This window comes from Homo sapiens, chromosome X, assembly GCF_000001405.40.
Source record: "Homo sapiens chromosome X, GRCh38.p14 Primary Assembly".
NCBI lineage: Eukaryota > Metazoa > Chordata > Mammalia > Primates > Hominidae > Homo > Homo sapiens.
Window position 1 is genome coordinate 143865527 of NC_000023.11, and position 21029 is coordinate 143886555.

General features: G+C 35.7%; 1 pseudogene across 1 annotated transcript; it reads left to right on the forward strand.

The window, feature by feature from the left end:
* UBE2NL (ubiquitin conjugating enzyme E2 N like (gene/pseudogene)) lies at positions 18545–19729 on the forward strand (annotated as a pseudogene). Its single transcript, NR_121210.1, has one exon. The product of NR_121210.1 is annotated as a ubiquitin conjugating enzyme E2 N like (gene/pseudogene), transcript variant non-coding (transcript).

Sequence of the window (21029 nt, forward strand, 5' to 3'; positions counted from 1 at the left end):
ACCCCTTCACAATCTAGAACCCAATGATTGGATTTCTGGAAACATCAGAGAAAGACTGTCCTGCCATCTACTCTGTAGCAAAACTTTGGGACCTCAAACCTTGGGTTTATAATCTCACAACTCAGAAGAGTCCTTCCACACTCTTGGAACTGTACACCCATTGGAATCCTTAAGGTGAAGCTAACCAGTGAGGTTTCTCCCCAGAAGAAGATGGCATCCTTGATGGGGACAGCTTTTTCTCAAGATTAGAGATTGAGACTTCTCTACTATCATGAGACTCTTATCTTTCATTTTTTTCCCTTGCTTATGCCTCTTTGAACAATAGAAAAAGAAAAACAGGTTTTCTGTGTGCACTCACAGGGTTTACTTTTATTTGTGAAGGATTTTCGAGCCAGCCTTATACATGAATAACTTTATGCCTTGACAGATGAAAGTTGAAGGTCCAATGTATGTGAGCAAGTTTAATGTTACATACATTGCCTCATAATCAGTCAGAAACAGAATGTTGCTCCACTCTTCTTAACCTACATTATGCATCAAAGAAAACATTGCCAGAAGGTCTTCACTCTTCTAGAAGGGCTTCATTTTTTAGATTATTTTATCCATTGTTTGGAGTAAATGAGGCAATGATTAGAAATTTACCCCTCGTGATAGGTTCTAGAGAAGATGCTACCTTAAAGAAAACATTCTCTTATGAATGTGATGCTAAATAATAGAATTGCTCTAGATTACTTACTGGCTAAACAGGGAAGTATCTGTGCAGCTCCTGGCACATCTTATTGCCCATGGAGAAATGCATCACATTGGGTATTATAGAGATTCAGTTGTAAGGGATTAACAAAGAGACTCCTTAGTTAAAGTGAGTAGACTCCTTATCTAACTTATTCTTTGATCTATCTGATTTTAGTTGGTTTAGTTTATGGGGACCCTGGCTAAGGAGCATACTCCAAACTCTTGGTATTATCCTCATGATAGTCATAATATTCATCTCCCTGGTGCAGTGTATTCTCTCAAAAGCTTGAAATGTTTGCATGAAGTCATTTTTAGAACCATAAAGTTGAAGAGAGTGGAAAGAGATTCCACTCTCTTCAAGTGGAATGACAAGAGCTGAAAGAAATGTGTGACTATGAGGGCACTGTAATGTATGAATAATGTGTTAAGATCAGAAACCCAAAATGATAGTAACTGAGAGTGGGCCTAAGGCTCTAAGTTTTGGTCATGCTCTCACCTAAGTGAGAATGTGACCAAAAGGGGGAGTTTTTAAACATATTATGAGAGGACATTGTTATGGACTGAGCTCATGCACTAGGCCCCACAGATCAGACCAAACCAAAATGGAGTCACTTATACTAAATGTGACATAATCAAATTCAGACTTTAAGGAAACACATAAATCCTAAAACAGACTAGGTTTTGTTTTTCTTCTATAAACAGGACATTCCATCATAAAGAGGTATCCTCTACTCTAATACTTACAAAAGAAATAACCTCATGTCCTTGTCCTCACCTTATAAAACCCACTGTATGCTATTTCCCAGTGGGTTTCAAGACCAAATAAGTACTTTTATGATGGTGATAGTAACATCAATGGTTAAAGTTTTGGTCAATCTCTCAAAATTGAGAGGATGAACAAAAGGAGGGAATTTTAAAATGAAGTTTAGTCTAAAGCTGCCTGCTAACATATATTAAGGTCGGCCTAATAATTTCTCTGTACGTCATCAACTACAAGCTAAATGAAGTTGTAAACAAAGGGCGGCCTACTCTCATGGCAATTACTGTATTGTGGCCAATCAAAGGTGGCCAGCTGTTCAAACAATGTTCAAATAAGGCAAACCCCTAGCCATAACCAATCAACTCTTTCTGTACCTTACTTCCATCTTTGGTACCTCACTTTGCTTTGTCTATGCATAAATTTTCTTCCACTATATAGCTGTGTTGGAATCACTGAGCCTGTTGTGGCTCCAGAGGCTGACCAATTTGCAAATCATTCCTTGCTCAATTAAACTCTGTTAGACGTAATTCAGCTAATTTTTTTTCTTCTAACAGAAATGAGCTTTATCATTGTCTGCCTATAGCAGTTACTAAATTTATTTGTCTTCTATCTCCAAATCCTCCTCTAATCGAGATTAAACACCGGTGCATTTGACCCCATTGTGAATGGCAAAAAGAAATTAGCATAAGGAATGCACACTTAAAAGAAAATTTTATAACTGATTAATTACTAAAGAAGAGTCTCATAACTAAAAGAAGCTAATCAGAGGCTTAGATTGGAGTAGTCAAAGATACCACTTATACTTGCTGTATGTTCCACTGTTTGATCACTTTTTTTTTCACTCAGTTTTCTTTGTACCTCCTTTAATGGCACCACATTATAGGGAAAATCTTCCTTGCTCACTTTTTGAACATAAAATAGAATTGTTCTAAATTTAGATTTCCCTCAGATCTCTGATCTGTCTAGATTTGCAGTCTATATAAAATAAGACCCATCCCCAGCTTTTTACACCAGAGGTAAATTATAAAGAAATAAAAAATGACCTAGCATCTCTGGTGCATTGATATTTTTCATCTTTCATCATTATTCTGCTTCGAATAGCTTATGTTTGAAGAACATTAAACATCTTCAATATCCTCTGATTTTATAATATTTCTTACATTCCTGAGAGGAGGACTTATCAGAAACATGACAAAATCACATGCAATTTTTTGTTATTTTTCTGTTTAGTAACCTTCCTTTACATTTGCAAAATAGTTTATAATTCAGAAAGCACTATCCTGTACTACCTTTTTTTTTTTTTTTACTTTCACAGCAATTCTGTAAATTATTAAGGGCAAGTATTGTCATCTTTCATCATTTAAAAGAAACTAACCTCAGAAAACTTTGAATATTCTGCTTTAGGTGAAAATGCTAATACACAGTAGAGCACAGAGTAGAAACAAATTCTATATGAAAGTTCAAACTGAACACATATACTGATGCATAAAATACACCCAGAGTACAATCCCAGTCAATGAAACTAATAAATATTATTCAATTTCTAGGTCAGAGCAACATCAAAATCCCCTAAAACTCAATTTATTGTTGATCCTGAGCAGTCTTTTCCTCTTTGTTTTTTTCGCCTCAAGTAAAATGCGCCCTTTTCTGGATTTCAGAGAACTCTTTAATTGAAGTAGGATAAAGCGTATTCTTCATTATACACTCAGAAAGCCCGGCAACATTCAAACTCCTATCAGCAGACAATCTCTAAGACTGCAGGAAACCCTGCTACACTGTAGTTTGCTAAAATAAAGTGTTTTACTATCGAGTATTATTTTATTAATGCCATGGTCCTCTTTTGGTCAAGGCTATGGATTAGGATCTTGGGCAGATAACAAATTCCTACATACTACTGTGAGATTTTATTTGACTTATCCAAATCTCATGAATAATGATCTACCAATATGCTATGAGCTCACAAAGAAAGAAGGGCTTGAAAATGTATGTTCTTAGAAGAAGCTGGAACTAGAAATGTAAAAAATGCTAGACAACATTATCATGAAAGCTATGAGTAAGATGGAGCCAAAGTGAATGACTGGATTTAAAGATTTCTATGTTCTGTGTATTTTCAGTACTAATAAGCTTTAGACTTTTCTAATGTAAGTATGAATTATAAAAACTAAGGATAAAACAAAACCTTATCACCACCACAACCACAACAGAAAAGATAAGGGTAACCTCTGCACATTCAGAAATAGACTGACTAACCTCAAAATCAGTACTGAGGAAAATGCAGAAGTAAAAAAAAGTCTCATAAACTCAGTAGAAGGCTAGAGAGGAAAAAAAAACCATAATAATTAAAAATAAAATAAAATTTAGAAACAAGTTAGGATTCATCAATAATCACATTAAATGCAAAAGTTTAAACCATCTACTGCATGACAGTGACTATCAGATGAGAGGAAAGTTTATTTATATTCTTCTTAAAAGAGATACATTTAAAGCAAATTCATACAGAATGGTTAAAAAGGTTGGAAGAAAATACATTCTAAGCAAAGTATAACCAAAGAAAGGAAGTGTGGCATTATTAATTTCAAAAAGAACAGAAAATCAAAATGCATTCAGAACAGAAAATCAAAAGGCATTATTAGGGATACAGAGGGACACTGCCAAAAAGATGACAGTCATAAACTAGTATGTACCTAATAATATAGCTTTGAATTATATAAGCCAATATTAGGATTATTAGTATTTCTGGTTTCAGCTCCAAAATGTAAAGCACTTGGACATTCTCACTTTCACTTTTACAACAGTGAAAAAGTTAAGCAAACTGAAAACCAATGCCTTTCTTAGAGCCGTCATAAAATTGAGGCCACAGGATAAACCACCAAACTGAAATCTGGAGACATAGATAAATACAGAGGATCACAGTTGAGATCAATTTATTTGAAGCAGAAGCAACTCGAGCAATAAACTGGTAGGAATAATTAAATGGTGATACTGATGAATTGCTGGAGGCTTAGTGTAGACTAGCACCAGAGGGATAATCTCCTGCAGGCCCAGTCTTATGGAAGTCATACAGTTTCATGGGCATTCACTTGAAGAAACTCATCATGTTGTCATTGTGAAGATAAAAATAAAATTCCTCATGCTTTGGTCAGAGTAAGGGAAAAAGTAACCACTTGGAAATACACCTAGTGTTCTCTATAAGAAAGAGCTACTTTACAGAAGAAAAAACTTCACTAGATCTTTATCCAACATGGAAGGAGAGCAACCAGCCAACTCCACCCATCTCTAGACATTCTGTCTCATGCAAGGGAAGAAATAAAAGGCTATGAATTACTTCAGAAGTAATTCATAAAGGCCATCGCCTTGGTGTTCAGGACCAATAAAGGAGTGAAATTTAATCATAATAGTGAAGAGAGCTTGTACTCTCCCACACCTTAGTATAGCTGAAACTGCTGCTAAGCTAGACTTTATTGGTGAAGCATTTATTAGGAGAAACCAAAAAGTAGCAGAGAAAACAAAACAATGTTTTTAGGGGTATTTAAATGCTCTGACACCTGTGGTTACAGCAAACATCAAACATTGCTCAAATCCTATTCAAGTTAATATAAAACCTCACACTAGATCCCTGTACGCCTCAGTTCTCTATTAGCTGATATATTATATCTGGCTTTCAACAGTGGCAACAACAATGACAAGAAATGGTAAAAGGCAAGGAAAAATACAGTTCCAAAAGACATAGCAAGCATCAGAACCAGACACACGCATTGGAATTTTAGACAGGGGATGTCAAATAACTATGACTCGTATACTGATGGCTCTAATGAACAAAAGAGATAATATGCAAAAACAAATGAGTAATATCAGCAGAGAAGTAGAAAATCAAAAAATGAAAGGAATTAAAGGCAATTCTAAGAATCAGAAGCACTGTACCAGAAATGAAAAATTATTTTGATGACCTGGACATGGCCAAGGAAAGGATTAGTGAGTTTGAAGATGTGTCAATTAATACTTACCAAACTGCAACAAGAGAAAAAAAGGATCAAATCAGTAAACTATCTAAGATGTGTAGGGTAATTTGAAAACATGTAACATGTGTGTAAATTGGAATACCATAAGGAGAAGAAAAAAAAAGAAGAAATATTTGAAGTAATAATGGCCAAGGACTTTTCAAAATTAATGACAAACACCACACCACAGATTCAGGAAGTTTATAGAATCCCAAACAGAATAAGTATCAAATAAAATATAACCAGGCATATCATACTCAAGCTGCAGAAAACCAAATACAAGGACAAAATCTTGATAAAAGCCAGTGGTGGGTGTGGGGGTAAAGAAATTACCTTATCTATAGAGGAAAAGGCCTAAGAATAGCAGGCCGGGCACGGTGGCTCATGCCTGTAATCCCAGCACTTTCGGAGGCCCAGGCGGGCGGATCACCTGAGGTCAGGAGTTTGAGACCAGCCTGACTAACATGGTGAAACCCCGTCTCTACTAAAAATACAAAAAAAAAAAAAAAAAAAATTAGCCGGGTGTAGTGGTGGGCGTCTATAATCCCAGCTACTTGGGAGGCTGAGGCAGGAGAATCGGTTGAACCTGGGAGGTGGAGGTTGCAGTGAGCCGAGATCACGCCATTGCACTCCAACCTGGGCAACAGAGCAAGACTCTGTCTCGAAAAAAAAAAAGAAAAGGTTTTAAAAATAAAAATAAAATAAAATAAAAAAGAATAACAGCAGACTCCTTGTCAGAACCCACATAAGCAAGAAGAGAGTGGAGTGAAATATTTAAAGCATTAGAAGATAAAAAAAACTATTAACCTAACATGGAATTTTATATATGCACTGAAATTATCCTTCAATAGTGAATAATAAATAAATGTTTTCTTGGAGCACCTAATGCACAGAAAAAATCTGAGAGATTATTCTTCAGAAGACTTGCCATGAACTAAATGTTAAAAAAAAAAAAAAGTATTCAGCATGCAGAAAGATGATACAGGTCTTTTAAGAACATAAAGAAAAAATGTGTCAGAGAAGAAATAAATGAAATTAAATATTATTATTTATTTTAAATGTAATATAACTATTCAAATATTAATGGTAACAACATACTGTCTGATAATAACCTCTTAATCAGTAAAATGAGTTTTATAAGGCATAGTGGAGTGGAATTGAGATTTCTCTGTTGTAAGCTACCTGCACTACAGGTAAATCCATGTAATGTTATTCAAAGGTGAAAAGACGGAAGTGTGGAAATTTCTACATTATGAGGCACATGCACTACATGTGAATCTATTTAATATTATTTAAAAGTCTGCTTAGATTAATTGTAAATGTATACTGCAAACTCTAAGGCAACTACTACTAATATGTTAAAAAAGAAGCATAGGTGATATTGTAATGTCAACTCACCATTGATGTGAATTGAGTAATATGATTGGTCTAAATATACATATTAAAAGAACAATGAATAGGAAAAAGTTAAAGCATAGTAAATATTATTTCAACTTATATCAGTAATTATTTTAAATGTGAATGGAATGGTCTAAATACACATGTTAAAGATGGTGATTGTGATGGTGGCTTTTTAAACAATTGCTCAACTACACGCTTTTTATAAGAAATCTGCTTTAGATATAAAGACAAAGATGAATTAAAATTAACGAGGTAAAAAATATATATACCATGTTGACACTAATTGAAAGAAAACTGGAATAATTGTTAAATTTAGACAAAACAGATTTCAAAGCAAATAAAATGGCAGGGATAAAGACCAACATTGCATAATGATAAGGCATCCGTTCTCCTAAAAGATGTAACAGTTCTTAGCATGTATATGTCTATCAAAAGAGTATCAAATTACAAAAGGCAGAGAGGGGTGGGGGAAGATGGTGGAGTAGGAATCTCCAGCGATTATCTCCCCTTCCGCCATAGAAACATTAATTTGAACAACTATCCATGCATGAAGAAGTTTTCACAAGAGCTAAGAAAACCAGATGAGACATTACGGTACCTGGTTTTAGCATAATAATTAGAATAGACAAATTGAAGAGGGCAGAAAGGACCATTTAAGTTTTGCATCACCTGTTCCCCAACCTCAGGCAGTTCAGTTTGTAGAGAAATACCATCTACTTGAGGAAAAGGAGGGAAGCAAGCATAGGACTTTGCATTAGAATCCAGTACTGGGCCCACTACAGTAAAGCCCAGCACTGGGCTAGACCCCTCTGCTCCTGGCACCAGGCCAATATACATGAACAAAACCTCTAGACCTGCCCCAACATGAGACAAAATCCTGTGGTCCCAGGGCCAGATGGGAACCTGTGGCCCTGGTAAGGCAAACTTGAGATCTGACCCACATGACCACCAGCTGACTGCAACAGCCTCAGACCCTGAATAAACCTCGGTGGTGGGCAGACTATAGCAGCTGTGGGTCTTGGGCACACTCCAGTGCTGTGCTGGTCTTGGCAGCCACGGTTTCTGGTGTGACTCAGCACTGTGTCAGCCTCAGCAGCCAAATATTATGGACCCAGCAATTCTAGGCTTTCGGGCACCTCAGGGAACTGCAACTGCTGAAATCGTAATGGATTTAAGGATATCACCAGTCAACCTACATTGAATCACTGGACAAACCTGCTGCGGAAGAAAGTTACCAAACAAAGCCAGGCTGCAAACACTGGATTAGGTAAGAATATCGACATGCAGACATTGACACATGGCCACAAGCATCAAGATCAATAAAAAAAACATGATGACAGCAAATGGACAAAATAAAGCTCCAGTGATGCTCAATGGATTAAAGACTTAAACATAAGACATGAAACTATGAAACAACTAGAAGAAAACAGGAAAAAGCAATTTTTTTTTGGATATGACCTCTAGAACACAGACAACAAAGGCAAAAATAAACAAGTGAGACTAGATCAAACTAAAAAGCTCTGCACAGCAAAGGAAACAATCAATGGAGTGAAGAGACAACCTAAAGAATGGGAGAAAATATTTGCAAACTTTGCATCTGACAAGTGGTTAATATCCAATATATATAAGAAACTCAGATAACTCAGCAAAAAGAAAACAAGTAACCTGATTAAAAAATAAGCAAAGTGTTTGGATAGCGATTTCTCCATAAAAGGAATACAAATGGCCAACAGGTATATGAAAAAAAGAATCAAAATCACTAATCATCAAAGAAACACAAATAAAAACCACAGAGAGATACCATCTTATACCAGTTGAAATGGCTATTATCAAAAAGATGGATAACATAAAGATGTAAAATAAAGTGAGACGTTGTACACGGTTGGTGGAAATGTAAGTTGGTACAACCATTATGGAAAGCATTATGGAGATTAGTCAAAAAATTAAAAATAGAGCTGCCATATATCCAGCAATTCCACTTCTATGTGTGTGTGTGTGTGTGTGTGTATATATATATATATATATATATATCTCCAAAAGAAATGACATTAGTATATTGAACATATATCTTCATTTCTATATTTATTCCAGCATTATTCACTATATCCAAGATATGGAATCAACTTAGCTTTCCCTCAACAGATGGGGTATATTGAAAAATATATGGTATATTGATATGGTTTGGCTGTGTCCCCAACCAAATCCCATCTTGAATTGTAACTCCCACAATTCTTATGTATCATGAGAGGAAGCCAGTGGGAGATGATTGAATTATGGGTGCAGGTCTTTCCTCCTCTGTTCTAATGGTAGTAGGTTTCATGAGATCTGATGGTTATTATAAGGGGGAGTTTTCCTGCACAAGCTCTCTATTTTTTTTCCTGCTGCCATCCATGTAAGATGTGACTTGCTTCTCCTTGCCTTCTGCAATGATTATGAGGCTTCCCCAGCCACGTGGAACTCTAAGTCCACTATAAACCTCTTTCTTTTGTAAATTGCCCCATCCTGGGTATGTCTTTATCAGAAGCCTGGAAACAGACCAATACAGTAAATTGGTACCAGGAGAGTGGTGCGCTGCTGAAAAGATACCTGAAAATATGGAAATGACTGTGGAACTGGGTAACAGGCAGAGGTTGGAACAGTTTGGAGGGCTCAGAAGAAGACAAGAAAATGTGGAAAAGTTTGGAACTTCCTAGAGACTTGTTAAATGGCTTTGACCAAAAGCCTGACAGTGATATGGACAATAAAGTCCAGAGCAAAGTGGTCTCAGATGGAAATGAGGAACTTGTTGGGAACTGCAGTAAAGGTGACTCTTGTTATGTTTTAGCAAAGAGAGTGGTGGCTTTTTGCCCCTGCCCTAGAGATTTGTGGAACTTTGAACTTGAAAGAGATGATTTAGGGTATCTGGCAGAAGAAATTTCTAAGCAGCAAAGCATTCAAGAGCTAACTTGGGTGATGTTAAAGGCATTCAGTTTTATAAGGGAAGCAGAGCATAAAAGTTCTGAAAATTTGCAGCCTGGCAATGTGATAGAAAAGAAAAACCAATTTTCTGAGGAGAAATTTAAGCAGGCTGCAGAAATTTGCATAAGTAACAGGGAGCCTAATGTTAATCCCAAGGACAATGGGGAAAATGTTTCCAGGGCAAGTCAGAGGTCTTCATGGCAGCCCCTCCCATCACAGGCCTGGAGGCCTAGGAGAAAATGGTTTATGGGCGAGGCCCAGGGTCCCCATGCTGTGTGCAGTCTAGGGACTTGGTGCCCTGCATCACAGAAACTCCAGTCATGACTAAAAGGGACCAAGGTACAGCTCAGGCTGTTTCTTCAGAGGGTGGAAGCCCCAAGCCTTGGCAGCTTTCATGTGGTGTTGATCCTGCAGGTTCACAGAAGTCAATAATTGAGGTTTGGGAATCTCCACTTAGATTTCAGAAGATGCATGGAAAGGTCTGGATGCCCAGGCAACAGTTTGCTGCAGGGGCAAGGCTTGGGCCCTCATGGAGAAACTCTGCTAGGGCAGTGTAGATAAGAAATGTGGGGTCGGAGCCCCCATGCAGACTTCCTACTGGGGCACCACCTAGTGGACCTGTGAGAAGAAGGCCACCGTCCTCCAGACCCCAGAATGGTAGATCCACTGACAGCTTGCACTGTGGGCCTGGAAAAGCTGCAGACACTCAATGCCAGCCTGTGAAAGCAGCCAGGAGGGAGGCCATACCCTGCAAAGCCACAGGGGCGGAGCTTCCAAAGACCATGGAAACCCACCTCTTGCATCAGTGTGATCTGGATGTGAGAATTGGAATCAAAGGAGATCATTTTGGAGCTTTAAGATTTGGCTGCCCCTCGGGATTTCAGACTTGCATGGGACCTGTAGCCCCTTTGTTTTGGACGATGTCTCCCATTTGGAATGGCTGTACTTATCCAATGCCTGTACTCCCATTGTATCTAGGAAGTAACTAGCTTGCTTTTGATTTTATAGGCTCATAGGCAGAAGGGACTTGCCTTGTTTCAGATGAGACGTTGGACTGTGAACTTTTGAGTTAATGCTGAAATGAGTTAAGACTCTGAAATACTGTTGGGAAGGCACGATCAGTTTTGAAATGTGAGGACATGAGATTTGGGAAAGGATAGGGGCAGAATGATATGGTGGCTGTGTCCCCAACCAAATCGCATCTTGAGTTGTAACTCCCACATTTCCTATGTGTCGTGGGAGGAACCCGGTGGGAGGTGATTGAATTATGGGGGCAGATCTTTCCTGTTCTTTTCTTATAATAGTAAGTCTCACAAGATCTGATGGTTATTGTAAGGGGGAGTTTTCCTGCACAAGCTCTCTCAAGCTCTTTCTTTTTGCCTACTGCTATCAATGTAAGAAGTGACATGCTCCTCTTTGCCTCTCGCCATGATTATGAGGCTTCCACAGCCTTGTGGAACTGTAAGTCCATTATAAACCTCTTTCTTTTGTAAATTGCCCAATCACGGTTATGTCTTTATCAGCAGCATGAAAACAGACTAATACATATATACACATACAATAGAATATTATGCAGCCTTAAGAAAGGAAATGCTGTCATTTGCAACAATGTGGATGAAACTGGAGGATATTATGCAAATATAATAAGCCAGACACAGAAAGACAAATACTGAATGATCTGACTTATGTGTGGGATCTAAAAAAGTTAAACTTATAGAAGCAGAGAGTAGAATGATGTTTGCTGGGGGTTGAGGGAGTGAAGAAATAGAGGGCTTTTGGTCAAAGGGTACAAAGGTTCAGTTATGCAGGATGAATAAGTTCTGGAGATTTAATGTACAGTATGGTGACTATAGTTAATAATACTGTGTTGTATACTAGATATTTGCCAGGAGAATAAATCTTAAATTTTCAGACCATACATAGACACAAAGATGGTAAGATGGTAACTATGTGAGGTGATGGGTATGTTAATTAGCTTGATTGTGGTAATCATTTTCCAATGTGTATATATATCAAATCATCAGTTTGTACATTGTAAACAGGTACAATTTTCATTCATCTATTATCCCTAAATAAAGCTGAAAAATAAAAATAGAAATGAGTAAATAAATTTTTTTTTTTTGAGACAGAGTCTCGCTCTGTCGCCCAGGCTGAGTGCAGTGGCGCCATCTCAGCTCACTGCAAGCTCCGCCTCCTGGGTTCACGCCATTCTCCTGTCTCAGCCTCCTGAGTAGCTGGGACCACAGGCGCCCGCCACCACGCCCAGCTAATTTTTTGTATTTTTAGTAGAGACGGGGTTTCACCGTGTTAGCCAGGATGGTCTTGATCTCCTGACCTCGTGATCCACCCGCCTCGGCCTCCCAAAGTGCTGGGATTACAGGCGTGAGCCACCACGCCCGGCAAGTAAATAAAATTTTACAAGAAATAATTTGGGAGAATTTCTGGGTTCATGCTCGGTCAACAAAAATGGATATTTTTTCTATAGATTAACAAGACTCTTAGAAATTATGATACAAAAAATGTCTTATTATAATATCATATACACACATTATTTAGGAGTAAATCTAATAAAGTACACTCATGATTTTGACAAAGGAAATCACAAAACACTGAGTGACAGTAAGGGCAACCTTAGATACGTAGAGAGACGTATCAGTTTGATGGATGAGAAAACAACATGAAAAAGGTATTATTTCACTTTACAATAAATTTAATGCAATTTGAATCAAAGCCTCATTATGAAGCTATATATGTAGAATTATAAAGGTCTAAAATATTCTTCAAAAATATAAAAGTATTTATAAAGTACTTTCATTTTAAACTCTTGTAATTAAAGTAACGTAGGTGAAGAAAGAGGCAAATTAATCAATATTTTAGATGATAGAACTCAGAAATTCATCAAGGTATATACAACAATTGAATATATAATAGAATTAACTTTCTACATCAGTGGGGAAAGAATAAACTTTCAGTATATTATGTTGGGATAAATTGTTTTCCAATTGAAAAAATTACAATATTAGATCTTTACCAAATATCATATGCAAAAATTGATCCCAGACAAATAAAAGAGAGAAATAAGAAAATCTTCAAAATTATTAAGAAATAGTATTCAGTAATTTTTTCTAACTATGATAAAATTTCTTAGATAAGGAACAGAAAACCCACAAATAAATGAAAGAAGTTACTGAAGTTACTGAAAAACAAATTTAAATGACAACAATATACTTAAACATATTTAGCAAACAAAATGTTAATATCAAGTATATTGAAACAATCTTTCTGATGCCTAAGTCAAAAATATATAAATATTAAAAATGGGTAAATTACATAAAATTGAACTCAGCAAAAAGGACAACTGAATGTACAAGTTACCTTTTTTCACTGTACATATAGGACAATTTAAATTGTAAGCTTAATATTACCAAGAAATGGTGAGCATGTGTTGAAACAGGAAGGTTCATATACTCCTTGTGGAAATATAAAATTGGTATCGTAACTTGAGAGAGCTATTTGGAAAAAAAATGTTAGTTTGTAAATGTGTATACCCCAAGGCCTGGAAATTTTATTCATCAAACATGATTGTGAAGAAAGGAATTAACAGGTTAAAATAATAAAATAGCCTCTAAAAGATACACAGAAACGATTGTAGAAATCCAAATTAAACATAATATGAAGCCCAGAAAGCAGAGAAAATATTGAGATGACAAATTAAATTAATGAAATTAACAATAAAAAAGTGTTGAAGAAAATATTCCTGTGGTCAAAAAGAGCCAAATATGATTAATGCAAGTGTGTCTCATGAATTGGGCAAATAATACAAAACAAAATTTAGACTTATTTTGGGAAAATTCTTGCATTTGTAAGACTGATTTTTTATTCCTACAAACAGTTCAGTTGAGAAAAACAGATTGACAGCAAATGATCAAATTCAGTTCTTTTTTTTCCTTTTATTTTCATTTCTATAATTTTTGAACACTAGAGGAACCAGATCTACAGAAGGCTGAGAGAGAAATTTTTGTGAATGGGAAATTACATACAGTGCCAAATGGCACTTACGAAAACAACAACAGCAAAACTTTCTTTTTTTTTTTTTTTTGTTTGTTTGTTTGACAGAGCCTTGCTCTGTTGCCTAGGCTGGAGTGCTGTGGCACAATCTCGGCTCACGGCAACCTCCACCTCTCGGGTTCAAGAAATTCTCTGCCTCAGCCTCCTGAGTAGCTGGGATTACAGGCGCCCGCAAGCAAGCCCAGCTAATTTTTGTATTTTTAGTAGAGACGGGGTTTCACCACTTTGGCCAGGCTGGTCTTGAACTCCTGACCTTGTGATACACCTGCCTCAGCCTCCCAAAGTGCTGCCATTACAGGCGTGAGCCACTGCATCTGGCCAATGTTGAGCATTTTTATATGCTGTTGGCTGCTTGTACACCTTGTTTTAAGAAGTGTCTGTTCATATTCTCTGCCATTTTAAGTGGATATTTTTGTTCTTTCCTTGTTGATTTAAGTTCCCTGTAGATTCTTGATATTAGACCTTTATCAGATGCATAATTTGTGATTATATCCTCCTATTCCGTAGCCTGTCTGTTTACTGTCAGTAACTTCTTTTGTTGTGCAAAAGCTCTTTAGTTGAATTAGGTGCCACTTATTACTTTTCGTTTTTGTTGTAATTGCTCTTGGGGACTTAGCCACAAATTCTTTGCCAAAACTTGTTAAGAAGGTGTTTCTTAGGTTTTGTTTTAGCATTTTTATAATTTGAGCTCTTACATTTAAGTCTTTAATCCATTTTGAGTTAATTTTCATATATGGTAAGAGGTAGGGGTCCAATTCATTATTCTGCATATGACTAGCCAGTTATCCCAGCACTATTTATTGAATAGGCACTCTTATTGTCAATGCTTATTTCAGTAGATTTTGTGGAAAATCGGATGGTTGTAGTTGTGTAGGTTTACTTCTGTGTTTTCTATTCTGTTCCACCGGTTTATGCATCTGTTTTTGTACTTGTACCATGCTTTTTTGATTACTGTAACCTTATAGTATGGTTTGAGGTTGGATAGTGTGATGCCTCCAGCTTCATTCAGCAAACTGAATCCAGCAGCACATCAAAACGTTAATTCACCATGACCAAGTAAGATTTATTTCTGGGATGGAAAGTTAGTTCACCACATGCAAATCAGTAAATATGATTCACCACATAAACAGAATAAAAAACAAATCTCATACACTCATCTCAGTAGATGCAAAAACAACCTTCAATAAAATCCAACATTCCTTCATGATAAAAATCCTCAACAGATTAGGCATTGGAGGAAGTACATCAAAATAACAAGAGATGTTTGTGACAAAGCCACTGGCAACATCATACTAAATGGGCAAAAGCTGAAAGCCTTGCACTTGAGAACTAGAACAAGACAAATGTGTCCACTCTTACCACTTTCATTCAACATGGTAATGGAAATTCTATCCACACACAGCAATCAGGAAAGAGAAAGAAAAAAAAGCCATTCAAATAGGAAAAGAAGTTAAACTATCTCGTTGCTGACAATAAAATTCCATACATAGAAAACCCTAAAGACCACACCAAAGGGCTTCTAGGGCTGATTAATAGATTAGTTAAAGGTTCAGGATACAAAATCCATGTAAAAAATTCAGTAGCATTTTTATACACGAGTAACATTCTAGCTGAGAGTCAAATCAAGAACATGATCCCATTTACTATAGCCCCAAAGAAAATGAAATACCCAGGAATTCATCTAACCAAGGAGTGAAAGATCTCTACAAAAAAAAAAAAAAACTACAAAACACTGCTGAAAGAAATCAGGGATGACACAAATAAATAAGAAAAATTCCATGGTGGATGTAGTTAAAATGGCCCTACTGCCCAAAGCAATATACAGATTCAATGCTATCTCAATCAAAATGCCAACATTATTTTTCACAGAATTAGAAAAATCTACTATAAAATTAATTTGGAGCCAAAAAAAGAGCTTTAATTAATAAAGCCATCCTAAGCAAACAGCTTTGAAAAAAAAAGGAAGGAGAGTGAATGGACCTTTGATGAACAGAATGACAGACTATGGCAGAAACAATGTTCCTCACCTTGCAACACTAAAAACCCACATTTCCCAGCACTCTTTCCCCTTGCGTCTCAATGAAACCTTGTGAGTATATGTTATGGTGAAGGAAATGTTCTAGAAATGAGGTATTGTGTTCAGAAATTGAGGTTTTTTTAGTTGTTTCCAAAAAAAAAAAAAAAAAAAACAGCCTGTCTAGACTAATACAAAGAGAAACACATAAAACATACATTTCAAAAAAAATTTAGCAAAATCTAGGCAGAAACATCATGGAAAACATAGCAAAATGAAAACAGATATTTTAATGCTATTACAAAGTTGAGGACAAGCCTAAAAGCATTGAAAGGGAATAAAATGTTTACCTTATATTTGAAAGTCAGACAAAACAACTCAGGTATCACGATAATAATTATTTATGTACTGAATAATATTTCATCAAAATATAAAATATAAATTTATATGCATAGTAGAAAATGACAAAATGCAATCATACATGGAGTGCATTACACAGCTTGCTATATGTTTGCTAAATGAAATTGGTAAACACAAATGATATAGATTTAGTGACTGAACAATTCTACGTTCCACTGAATAAAATTAAATTCTATTTAATTAATGGAATGTTTTATGTGTAAATCTGTTTTTCCATTTATCCATCTAATTGCAAAATTCCTTTCTGGCATACAGATATCAATTTTGTGAGTTTCTGTGAATTGCGCTATATAGAAATTTCAATAAATTCTAAAATTCAGGTTTAAGAAAGGCCACACATTGGGACCATAATGTGCTTATATTTAAAAATAATGATGTGAATTAAAATGAAATACCCAAATAGATAAAAGAGAAAATGTTTTACAAAATTATTTTTTAGGTCAAAGAAGAAATTATAACTGTAGTTATAGATAATTCTAAAAAGAAATCCAAGGAGAAAATTAGGTGTCAGATCTTCATCATGGGGTTGAAGTGGTGTTTGCTAAAATGTAACTGGCCAAGCCATAAATAGTCACAGTGTTCAGTAAAATATAATTAGCTTCATTTGACTTCACTACAAAGTAAAACAAAAAATGGAGCTATAATATGTAAACATTAAAGGTAATAATTATAAAATAGCAATGAGAAAAATATTAAAGTATGAATTTTAAAAGATAAAACATAAAATTGATAAAAAATATAAAATCATAGAATTAATTTTTAATACTATGTAACTATTTGTTAAAATTTCAATTAGAATAACAATTTCTAGGAAACCTGATAAGTGGACAAAAGAGATAAAGCACATACATACAAACTTATAAATGTTAATATAACCACAAATAATGTAAAATTATGATAACTAGCTATATCAAACTTTATACTAATAAAGTTAAAAGTCTTGAAATTGATGATGTTTCTAGGAAAAAGGTAATTCATGCAAATGTTTTCAAGAAATAGAAAAATTAAATTATTATTAATTGATTTAAATTAAAATAAGAGAAAAAGGGCCACATTTAAAAATGGTACCCACTCCAGAGGTTTTATAGGAGGTGATTTATTTGAACGTATTATGGAGTAACTAATTATCACCCATTTATGGTGTTATAGGACTCAAAAAGCTATGAGCTCTTTTTGAACTTAACTCATTTTGTAAACATAACATCTCCTTGAAGCAAAATGCAAAATATTATTCATTGTTTTAATCTTATTTCTACACACAGAAATACTTGCACTGAATAAAATACTACTAATTCTAACACAGAGCTATAATTAAAGAGCAATCCATTGTGAACTAGTAGGGTGTTTTTTTATTCTTGAAACTTCTACTTATGTAGTTCATCACATCAAGAGAAAAGGAAGCAAAACCATATGATCATCTTGGTAGAGTCCAGTGAGGCATATGTAAAAAGAATTTGTGTCTATCCCTCATATAATATAGTTAATGAAAAACATAAATATTCTTAGATTCATATGATGAATCATATCTATCTAAAATTTACTTATGAAGCAAATACAACTTAAAGATAGAATATAAAATGTTCTTATTAAATTCTAGAGAAACAAGAATATAGTTCCTATCATCTCTAAAATTTAACTTTGTAAGTTATATTTATTATAGAGAAAAATAAAAATTCTCAAAAAAGACAAAAATGTACTCAAATAATATGATGTTCAATCTGGAAAATTTAAGAAAAATGCCTTTCTTTTTGAGACGGAGTCTCGCTCTGTGGCCCAGGCTGGAGTGCTGTGGTGCGATCTCGGCTCACTGCAAGCTCCACCTCCCGGGTTCACGCCATTCTCCTGCCTCAGCCTCCCGAGTAGCTGGGACTACAGGCGCCCGCCACCACGCCCGGCTATTTTTTTGTATTTTTAGTAGAGACGGGGTTTCACCATGTTAGCCAGGATGGTCTCGATCTCCTGACCTCGTGATCCACCCGCCTCGGCTTCCCAAAGTGTTGGGATTACAGGCTTGAGCCACCGCGCCTGGCCGAAAAATAACTTGACCTTAGTTTCAAACTACAAGATGGTTCATTAACATGGTGAGATTAAAAATTGTTTTAAAATCCCATGCACATATATTTCGTATATAGCTGTTTAATACATGATTAAATGATATTACATTTTAAGTAGAAATAAAAGTATAAAGTACTGGATGAGACCAGAGGCCGAACTCAGGTTCTGATGGCCGAGCTGCCCCACAGGATCATCAAGGAAACCCAGCGTTTGCTGGCAGAGCCAGTTCCTGGCATCAAAGCAGAACCAGATGAAAGCAACGCCCGTTATTTTCATGTGGTCATTGCTGGGGAATCAAAGGATTCCCCCTTTGAGGGAGGGACTTTTAAACGTGAACTATTACTTGCAGAAGAATACCCAATGGCAGCCCCTAAAGTACGTTTCATGACCAAAATTTATCATCCAAATGTAGACAAGTTGGAAAGAATAAGTTGAGATATTTTGAAAGATAAGTGGTCCCCAGCCCTGCAGATCCGCACAGTTCTGCTATCGATCCAGGCCTTGTTAAATGCTCCCAATCCAGATGATCCATTAGCAAATGATGTAGTGGAGCAGTGGAAGACCAACGAAGCCCAAGCCATTGAAACAGCTAGAGCATGGACTAGGCTATATGCCATGAATAGTATTTAAATTGATCCAATCATTAAGTGTGCATCACTTCTCCTGTTCTGCCAAGACTTCTTCCTTTTTGCTTGCATTTAATGGACATAGTCTTAGAAACATTACAGAATAAAAAAACCCAGACATCTTCAGTTATTTGGTGATTAAATGTACATTAGCAAATCTATGTCTTGTCCTGATTCACTGTCATAAAGCATGAGCAGAGGCTAGACGTATCATCCGGATTGTTGTGAAACGTTTAAAAGCAGTGGTCCCTCCCTGCTTTTATTCATTTCCCCCATCCTGGTTTAAGTATAAAGCACTGTGAATGAAGGTAGTTGTCAGGTTAGCTGCAAGGGTGTGGGTGTTTTTCTTTATTTTTTTGAGGGGGGTAAGTAGTTTTATTTTAATTTTATGGGCTCCTTTCCCCGCCTTTTTGGTGCTCTAATTGGATTGGTTAAAAGCAGCTAACCAGTTCTTTAGAAATATGCTCTCTATCCAAGTCTAACTTTATTTAGACACTGTAGATGGACAAGCTTGATTGTTTGAACCAAAATGGGAACATTTAACAAGCATCACTGCCCTCACTAATAACATTGTGACTTTGCTGTCAAGTGTAGAGTCCCCCCTTCAAAATAAGCTTGTGACCATTTTGTATGGCTTGTCTGGAAACTTCTGTAAATCTTATGTTTTACTAAAATATTTTTTGTTATTGTAAAAAAAGTTTAAAGTACTAGGTAATTATAAGAAATGTGAAGCACATATAGGAATAAAAATGATTTAATGATAAATGAATTGGGTAAATGGAGAAAATTGTTTGAGGTTGAAAAGCCTGAATGTAATAAAAATATCTGTTAGAAAAAGCTAAAAGCAATGACAGGCAGGGAAAAAATTATATGCAACAAATATAGAAGGTAAAATATACTTACTATATAAAGAGCTCTTATTAATAAGAAAGAGTTCTTGTCAGTAATACAAATTCTCCAAGAATACATGTGTTATATTGCTTTACAACATCCTTATATTATTATTGTCATTGTACAGATAAGAAACTGAGCCACTTTAGAGCTCATGAACATACCTTAGATTTCTCAGAAAGTTAGTGGTAGTCTAGGTATCCAAATCCTCATCTGCCTGAGTTAAGAGCTCCTCTCTATTGTACTATAAGTCAACATTTGTTAATTTATTAATATTATAACTGAGCCTGATTCTTCCTGTACTTCTGCACTCGCTGTAAATTAACCATTTTACAGGATAATGCCTCTCTCAACACTAAAATCTGTATAATTAATCTATTTATGTAGCCATGCATTTTAATACATTAGAATCCCAAAGCCCAGCAATAGATTTTTTTATATTTTATTTTACAATAGCTAATAAAGTTGATCAAGTAATTATTTATTGAGTTGCTAGTATATGACATATATTAGCCTAGGTATTAGAAGACTGAACGAAAAATAGACAAAGATCTCTTTCCTCATGAAGTTTTATATTTTAGTGGGAATGAGATAGACAATAAACATAAGAGGCAAGATCGTTATATAAAATATTAAAAGGACAAAGAGGTGTGGAGAATAATTAAGTTAGGTAAAAAGAATAGATGGTGATGAAGGGTGTGTGTGTGTGTGTGTGTGTGTGTGTGTGTGCTCACACGCTATTTTAAATAGTTTGATTAAGGCAGACCTAAGTGATATGGAAAATTACTGTACAAAGGTTAAAAGGGTTTGAGGGAGATATCCATGAGGATATCTGGAGTTAGAGCGTTTCAGATAGAGGGGTCAGGCAGTTCCTGAGATGAGAGCATTTCTACCATGATACAGAAAGAACAAGGTTCATGCGGTTGGAAAAATAAAAAAAGTGAGCGAGAAGAGAGAGGAATCAAAGATGAGGTTCCAAAGCTAATGGAATTTTAGATCCTGTGGAGCTCTGTAGCACGTGGAAAGTACTTGGTCTTCTATTTTGCATGAAAGTCATTAATCCATTGGATGTTATGAGCTGAGGAATGATATGAACTGACTTAAAA